This window comes from Homo sapiens, chromosome 16 (genome assembly GCF_000001405.40).
Source record: "Homo sapiens chromosome 16, GRCh38.p14 Primary Assembly".
In the NCBI taxonomy this organism is placed as follows: domain Eukaryota; kingdom Metazoa; phylum Chordata; class Mammalia; order Primates; family Hominidae; genus Homo; species Homo sapiens.
In genome coordinates this window covers 69,300,798-69,310,221 of record NC_000016.10, presented here as the reverse complement: position 1 = coordinate 69,310,221, position 9,424 = coordinate 69,300,798, and the positions used below count along the sequence as shown (strand labels likewise).

At 39.2% G+C, this 9,424-nt stretch overlaps 1 protein-coding gene across 4 annotated transcripts in view; it reads right to left on the bottom strand.

The window, feature by feature from the left end:
* The window catches only part of SNTB2 (syntrophin beta 2), a 121,889-nt gene continuing 113,634 nt past the window's right edge, over nucleotides 1,170-9,424 (bottom strand). For all 4 annotated transcript variants that reach the window (NR_172088.1, NR_172090.1, NR_172089.1 and 1 more), the window contains one exon: nucleotides 1,170-9,390. Coding sequence is in view for 1 of the 4 variants with exons in the window: in NM_006750.4 (NP_006741.1) it covers nucleotides 9,298-9,390 (93 nt within the window). In the remaining 3 variants the exon portion in view is untranslated. The remainder of the gene's footprint in view (nucleotides 9,391-9,424) is intronic.

Below are 9,424 nucleotides of genomic sequence, written 5' to 3'. Positions count from 1 at the left end.
CCGTAAGCTGAGTTGGGAGAATTGCTGGAGCCTGGGAGGTCGAGGCTGTAGTGAGCCGTGACCAGGCCATTGTACTCCACCCTGGGAAATGAAGCAAGACCCTGCCTCCAAAAAAAAAAAAAAAAAAAAAAAAAAAAAAAAAAAAAAAAAACCAAAAAATTGGCACACCTTAATCTCTCTTCACAAAATGCTAATTAAATACAAAGGAGAGGCCGGGCGCGGTGGCTCACGCCTATAATCCCAGTACTTTGGGAGGCCGAGGCAGGTGGATCACTTGAGGTCAGGAGTTCAAGACCAGCCTGGCCAACATGGTGAAACCCTGTCTCTACTAAAAATACAAAATATTCGCCGGCCATGGTGGTGGGCACCTGTAATCCCAGCTACTTGGGAGGCTGAGACAGGAGAATCGCTTGAACCTGGGAGGCGGAGGTTGCAGTGAGCCAAGACCACGCCATTGCACTCCAGCCTGGGCGACAAGAGCGGAACTCCATCTCTAAATAAATAAATAAATACAAAGGAGAAAACAATGAGGACATTAGCTTGACTACGCGACCGAAGGGAACACCCCTGGTGGTGGGATGCGTGGCCCTCGTGTGTCTCTCCACATGATACCCTGAAGAGAGCATGGCATCGTGGCATCTCTGCCAAGAGTGTGTGACACAGCCTGGTTGTGAGGCAACACCGAATAGAGCCAGCTGGAGAGCTGTGCTGAACAATCAAAGCCTTGTGCTGAGACTCAGGCACATGCGAATTAGAGTAAGGCCGAGGAACATTCCAGACTGAAGAACTGAGACACGACGACAAAAGGCAAGAAAGTGGTATTGGCCAGGATCCAAGGCCAGAGAGGAAAACAGGACATGGCCGGGATGGCTGGCATCATTTGAATGGGGTCTATGGAATGAGTGGTGGTGTGCCAATGTTGATTTCTTGATTAGGAGGACTTTATGGTGGCAATGCAAGGACTGTCCTTATGTTTTGGAGGTCCTCACTAGAGAATTTAAGGGTGCTAGAGAATCATATTAGAGAAAGACAAGGTAATGGAATAAATATGGCAAAATGTTAACAACTGGAAGGTTTGGGTGAAGAAGATTTGTATTGTTTTTGTAACTTTCCTGTAGGTTCAAAACTATTTCAGCATTTTAAAAATTGGAAAAAAAAAACAACCCACGTGACTAAAGCAACTTTTTTATTTACAGTATAAAGGTTACAAAGGTATATATGTATTTATATATATAATACCCTTAAGTTACACATTTTCATTGTAATGTACAATGCTGTATGTTGATGTGCTACTCAAGGGGAAGTGTTGTTTATGCATCTATATTTATAGAGTATACATAAAGCTTTTTAAAATTAGGAACACAAATACTGCCCTGTTTTACGCGTTGGGTTTTTGATTTGGTATCCAGAAGATCTGAGACTTAAATTTCAAACAAGACTTAAAAAGAAGGCTTGTTTAAATACAGGGTTCTAAAAAGAAGGAAAAAACCCAGAACATCACATACTTTTAATTATTTGTAAAAGCATTATTCTAGTTTTCTAAGTCTTTATACTTAAAAATGAAAGCAGTGTGGAAAAGAATCCACATAAGCAGGTATCATCAGAGTTTGCACAGATTAGCCAAAACAGGCCTTCAATAGGTAGTGGTTTTCTACATTATCTTCCAAAAGACCTCAGGTTTGGTACCAAAAAGGACAGATTTTTCTGGGCACCAAGGTCTTATAATGCTGCACTCATCCAATGGATTGTAAACATAATACTGGAGTCGTATAGTGGAGGGAAAATTCTGAAACTTGTTCTTACGATAAGGGCAGATTTGCGACAAAGTGAGAATATCATCGAGAATGATGATCATGCCAAACCTGAAACTTAATTGACATCATCATTTCCTCTCCCCCCAATTCTATTAATTCACAAATCGAGGTGAAAAGACACAACTGACACCCGCTTTAACAGGACCCAGATAGAAGGAAAGACATTTCTTCCAACCTAGGAGGAACACACATTTACAATACTTATGTGCTGGTTTTAATAGTATACAATCATTAGCACCTGATTGTCAAAGGGTAGGTTTAAAGAACAAGACACTGAAGGCATGACCTAATTTTTGTGCACAACTCCAAGATACTTGAAAACCAAGGGGAGGGCACCCATGTGATTCGGTTTCCTGTGCCATTCCAATCACTGATAGCTCAGGTACTTTCTGGGCAATGACCAAGGATGTTGCCTGAAAAGCTAACCCTAGAGATAAATGGAAGGCAAGCTGGATAGAAAGGGACTGTTATTGTGTGAAAATTATGGAAAACATTCAGTCAGCCTTATTTTCTTTAGGTGCCCTTTTCATTGAGTCCAAATGCCAGCGTGTCCTGGAATAAGTGAAATTTTGTTAATTTTTATTTTTTAAATGTTAAAAGTTTTTTTTTTTTTTTTAATTTTTTAAATGGAGTCGGGGTCCCGCTGTGTTGCCCAGGCTGGTCTGGACCTCCTGGGCTAAAGTGATCCTCCTGCCTTGGCCTGATTTTGTTAATTTTTAAATATCTTCATTTTGATCTATCATTAATGGAGAAATATTCCGTCTACCATGTATATAAGGACTTTCAGCAGATGAAATGCTTAAATAGTTTAAGGGTGGAAATGAATACAGCAATTAGAAATAAGGGGTTGATAAAATATGCATTTAGTTTTGCTGTTACAGTTAAAGAAGCATTTTTTAAGAAAGACTTTCTCATTTATCTACTTTGTGCAATAAAACTTAATTTTTGTTGTTGTGATTTATCTTACAAAGGATACTGTATACTGTTCTCTTTCCCAAACTAAAGTCTAAATTTGCACTAAAAAAAAAATCATGCATGATGAAAAGACCAGCCTACTTAAATGTGCTTGGAGTCCTTTCATGTTGGCATGGATCAAAGCCTGAGTATCCCTTCAAACATTTTCCAGTTTGCCAGATCCAGATAAACAGACTTGTAAATATACTTTGGTAAAAATATGAAGTGATGAATTACTTAACTGCTGAATGATAAACAGATGGCATGGTGTGCTGAGAAATAACGGATTATGTGCTACTAGAGGGCAGGAACTTTCTTTTGGACCCTTCAGAATGCCTGGTGTAGAACTATACATTAATAAATGTTTATTAGATGAAAGAACACATGAATATGTCATTAATTAGCTTTCCAGTTTCAAAATTAGTGTCAATAGCATGGACGTAAGATTATTGCAAACTGAGAAAGGGACTTAGGGGACTCAGAAATTATAAATCTTTTTCTTCTTTTTCTTTTTTTGGAGATGAAGTCTCGCTCTGTTGCCCAGGCTGGAGTGCAATGGCATGATCTCAGCTCACTGCAACTTCTGCCTCCTGGGTTCAAGGGATTCTCCCACCTCAGCCTCCCGAGTAGCTGGGACCACAGGCGCGCACCACCATGCCCAGCTAACTTTTTGTATTTTTAGTAGAGATGGGGTTTCACCATGTTGGCCAGGCTGGTCTCAAACTCCTTACCTCAGGTGATCCACCCACCTTGGGCTCCCAAAGTACTGGGAATACAGGCATGAGCCACCGCACCCGGCCAGAAATTATAAATCTAACCAGGATTCCCAAACCTACAATACAATGAAATATCATTTCTCTCTTATAGGTTTTTGGTTTTAACCAATCTATTTTAAAAGGGGCAATTCAAGGATTATGGTTTATATGGTGGATTTCTGTTGAATATGATCAAATGTTCACTGGAGAACAAGCAATAATTTGCAAAAGGCATATTTATGCCTTACATTAAATGTGGATCCTCTTCTAAAACTAGAATAAGCATCAGTTCAGTCACCCAACGTGGGAAGAAAGAATAGAGGTGGCAAGAAATGAAGCTCAAGTTTGTTTTGAAACAAAAGAAGAAACTTATTAAAAGATTCTTCTGAGTTACTACATAACAACCATTCTTCTAGTTGGCAGTTTAGCTAGTCAGAGAGACAAAAAAAAACAAAACCAAAACCAAAAACAAAAACAGATGTCCTCTATGTGCCTATTTATTGTGCCTTATCCTTAACTTGAAATTCTATCCTTTAAGAGAATGAATTTGTGTCACTCATCTGCCAGATGTTTTTGTTTTTTTAGAGAAAGGTTTCAAATCAGCCACTTAAGCAGTCTATTACTAGTGTAAAATAAATTCCATTTAACATCACAGCATAGGAATAATGATATTGCTCAAAAATACAGAACCCTGATATATAGCATAATTATTTTAGAACTATCATCACACATTTATCGAGTGTCTATGTATCCAGCACAGTGAAAGATTTAGCTTAAAGGGTGGAGGCGGGCAGATTGCTACAATTGGTTTTTAAAGACAGTATGTGGAAAGTCAGAATAATTTTAGATTACCAAGCAATTAGGGGGCACAGAGAAAGAACAGCAGGAGATGGCAGACTGCTCTACTTCCATCTTCAGTGGGGTTAAAAAAAAAAAAAAGCCACAATAACAACAGAAATTTAACTGAAAGTGATGTCCAAACTCAAAGTAGAGTATAATACCACCTGGTAATTAATGTCATACCTGACAGAGATATATAAAAAGAATGAATGACTACAGTCAAATTCAACTTAAAGTTTAAGCAGAATCCCAAATTTAAGTAAGTCTCTTTTCATTACATAGATATTTGATCTGATCAGAGCAATTTGCTTTGAGACCAAAGAGATCTGGCATTTTACTTATTCATTAGGAATTGAAAAAAGAAGACCTTTGGCTTTCTAACCAGCCATTTCATTCATGGCATCAACAGCCGATGGCAGCCACATGGAAATGTATGCTGGATATTTGGATAGTTTAAATATTATGTACAAGGAATAGCTTATAACCAGTGAAAATAATAAGAACATAATTCAGCATAAGTGTCCAAGATAAGATACAAAAAAGCAGAGAAAGTGCTTGAGTCTACAGGTCTTCCCTGAAAGTTTCAAAAATGTTTAATTCTTAAGCAGGTAGGCCTTTTAATAGAATTTGCATAGCAGCATACAAGGTAATTTGCATTAAAATATATGAACAGAGATTCTTCCATGGCTTTGAAAACAAATATATCCACATGCATATAAGTTAAGCAAGAAGACCTGGAATTTCTCACAAAATTAAAAAAAAGAATCTATTATAACCTTTTCTCACACTTTCGCCCATCAAAACCATTTACAGCAAAACCTGTTTCTAGGAGAAACATAGCCTTGTCCAGATTCCACACAGCTTAATTTTTTTTTTAAGCATAATTTCTGGGGCCAGGTGCAGTGGCTCACATCTGTAATCCCAGCACTTTGGGAGGCTGAGGCAGAAGGACTGCTTGAGTGCCAAGAGTTCAAGACCAGCCTGGGCAACATGGCGAAAAAAAAAAAAGAAAAAAAAATCCATAAAAATTAGCCAGGTGTGGTGGCACACACCTGTGGTCCCAGCTACTCAGGAGGCTGAGGTGAAAGGATCATTTGAGCCCAGAAGGTTGAGGCTGCAGTCAGCTATGATCATACCACTGCACTCCAACCTCGGTGACAGAGTGAGAACCTGTCTCAAAAAAAAAAGAAGGAAAAAAAAGAACAAATTCTGGTTTATCAGCTAAGTGCATTCATTCAGCTGGAAAAGCTTTGTTACCATTCAACTTAGGAGGATAAATTAGGAAAACAATCAGTAATAATGTTAGGTATTTGTTGTTTAGAAAGATTTTTTTACTTATAAAAATATAAGAAATAAATAATCCAATCTCTCCTGCCATGCAATAATTTTGAGTAACAAAGTTTGTGAGAGTACAGAACATAAAAACAGGCACTATCAGACCTTCTTTGGCCTAAAAAGTGCTAAAACATGGCTTTAAAATAGGTGAATGACATTTAAAGTAGTATTTTTGACTGCCTATATATGTTCCAGTATTTAACCTGAAACTCTTATCTACTAGGGAGGTGAGTTTACAGTTACAACTATCTAATAAATACTGCAGGAACTTATATTTAAGTATTTCTTCATATACAACATTAGAAACTAATTTCCAGATAATGTTTCATTTGATGACTTCAGGAAAGGACTTACCTTTTTCAGAAAAAGAAAAACTGAATGTTTTTCTTTTGTTCCTTTCCTTTTCTTTTTATGGAGAGAAAGGAGAGAAGTTTTAGGAGAAAAGGTGGGAGACTTTTCATATACCAACTCGCTGCTCCTAGGCATCTGTGTGGAATGTGGAGAAGCTGTCGAAGCCCCGGGTCTGGGGGGCACAGGAAGCAGTCCCTCTGAATGGGGAGCAGACACTATTCTGCAGTTTCCTTTCCATTCCACACACTGGAACCCACCACATCCTCAACAATTTTCTTAATTCAAAATGAAAAAGAAATGAAAAGTGAGCTGGTTCTATAAAAAAGGTAGAATATCGAAAATTCCCATTTGTAGTTATCATTTGGAAATAATTTGCCATACTTTGGCATCTAAATATAAATACATATTTATCATGGTGTCCCATTCATTAGAGAGCACTTCATTTGCGGACTGAAAATCCCACAAACACATTTGATTGAAGAACAACCTTGGTCATCATGACTGGAGAGCTGTTAGGTATGTAAGAAAAGCAGCAAAAGGGTTCTGGTTCTTGGGGCTGCTAATGGACAAAGGAAACCTCCCACACTTTCATTTCACAGCAAGACTCAAAAGATATTAAGAACCCTACAGACCTCAGTGCTATACATGTCAGTTTAACCTTGACCAAAATGAGTGAAAATGCACACATGCCTTGCCTTTCCTGCTCACATTTTAATTCCACCTATTTTACATCCTCATATAACCAACAAGCAGGGTGGCTCAGAAGCTCCCCTGCAAATCTCAGTGGCTTAGCTTTTCACATTAACACAGAAAACCTCAACCAAATGGCTTTGCTGCTGAAGTCTGTAAAGGCATCATTCAACATCTCATATTAATAATGCTCTCACTGCATAGAGGGTTCAAGATTGCCTACCTGAGGGTATTACATATTGAAATTCTGATTCCAGAAATCATTTCTGGACGTTCAAGAGATTTTTTTCCTTCTCTGAAATGAAAATTTATTGTGGGCCAGGCACGGGGGCTCACACCTATAATCCCAGCACTTTGGGAGGCCAAGGCAGGTGGATCACTTGAGGTCGGGAGTTCAAGACCAGCCTAGCCAACATGGTGAAAACCTGCCTCTACTAAAAATACAAAAATTAGCTGGGTGTGGTGGTGGGTAGCTATAACCCCAGCTACTCAGGAGAATCACTTGAACCTAGGAGGTGGAGGTTGCAGTGAGCCGAGATCATGCCACTGCACTCCAGCCTGGGAGACAGAACGAGACTCCGTCTCAAAAAAAAAAAGAAAAGAAAATTTATCTCAGATGGAGCCAATCTTAGGTTTATGAACTTTCAAAACATAAAAAGCTCTTGAAAGACATATTCTTGTCTAGATTTTAATTTCCAGTTTTAAGCAGTTCAGATAATTCATTTTTGGAACTTTGACAATTATATGAAGCTGGGGGAAGAACAGGCATCTCTCCCCAACCTCTGCATATTGTTGGTTTCACTGTAATGAGGAAGGAGGACTGACTTATGGGTGAAGGAGGACAATGGAGTTACAATGTTGACCTAGAACTCTCTCTGCTCATGGGTCCTCCCCATCGGTCAGGCCGCACTGAAACCAAATAGCTCATTTTGCACACAGGTGTGTTTTTCTCTTCTTTTCTCCCCCTGTGCCTGCCCCATCTGAAGTGACACCCTCCTCCACCCTCCACAGCGCTCACATTCTTCCGTGGCACTCTTGATCAATCAAGCAAACAAGAACTTTCCCTAGACCTTTCTTCAGAGAGCATAAAGAACATCCAAGTCAATATTACCTATTCTTTGAGATCCAGGGACTGTGCTAATTTTGACATTTTATATGATATTATACCATTTTAAATGTTTGCAGATATATACCACCTTCAAAATTAGGAAAAACAAGCTGAGTTCATTTTCTAACACTACAAAATCAGCATTCTTGCTGCTACTGTGTCCTAATGATATCTGGCAATCTTAACCAAAAGCAGGTAGCTGTTCCACGGTCTCATCACCCTGCTCACTGTAGGGTGTGCTGTGAAGCCAATAGTAAGTCTCGAATTAGCAGTTGCTTGTCCATGCCACTGCTGCCACAAAGGGCCAGGCCACAGCCAGGATGCTGCATCCTGTTGTTTTTGGGCAGCCCAAAACAATTCAACATGACGTTTGTGCGGAATTGCTGGCTTCACCCACCAAGTCTACTCCTCAAGCAGGCTGGCTCTTTAGGATTTATCTTGTTCAAACAGATCTGCCTACTAGAAGAGATGCCATTAAGGAAACCCACCTCAATGACTATTCCTCAAAACTAGGATAGGTGATCTCCTGGAAATGGCAGTGATTTCCAGTTATTCAAATAGTGACTAATAAAGCTCCACTAACCCTAACCAAAGGCACATTTGGTAAGCAATAAAAAAAATGGCTTAACCTAGGAAGAGGATTTTCATTTAAAATAAATCTTATCCCCTGGCTCCTAACAAAAATAAAATTGGAAAAACCTAAACCAAGCAAAACTTTTCTTTAAAAGCAGTGGCTTCCAACTTGCTTTTCAACTCAGTCACCACTAGAAAGGAAGTAGAAGGCAAGGCAAATCAAATTTACAAGTTCTAAGTCCTAGAGACAGTGGCAAAGCTTGGGATAAGGTGGGAAGTGATGGCCAGGCTGAGATAGAGGGAGATCCAGGGCAAATGGAACAACCCTTTGGTGATACAATTCAAGGACTTCCTATGGTGGAAGGAGCTAGTGAGGACAGTAAATTCCAAGACATACGACCTATCTGGAATGCTCAGGAAGCAACAGGCTGCTGCAAGCTAGCACCTGGGAAGGGACAATTGTTCTGAACAAGAGATCAAGGCTAAGCACAACACAAATCCTACAGGGAGAAGAAAAAGAAAACAATGCTTGGGTATTTGATTATGTCTAAAAATGAAAACAATGAAAAAAAAAGAAAACAATGAGCCATTCTTTTTAGCAGTAGAAATAAACCTAATTACTCATAAACCATATTTTGAAATGAGAATAAATCAACAGCTTCATTTTGGAGCCTTTTAGAGTGCTAGAATATCTGGCCAAGGTAGACTGTGAAAGGTAGGCTCTTCTTTAAACACGGTTATGGTTCAGCAGTTATTTGCAGGTCCTTGGGAAGGCACTGTGCTGAAGGAGAGCAAAGAGTTTCTTTTTGTGCTTTTTTTTTTTTGAGGTGGAAATATTTCTTGTGACAGTCAAGGCTCTTTTCTGATTTTTTGTTGCTCATACAAGCAGTCCCATACGAGTGACTTTGGCCGATAAAAACGTGTGCAACACAAATACAATCGGCTTCGGACAAGAGTGCAGGTCCATGGTCTGTGGAGAAAGGACACTAAGCATCACTACCTCA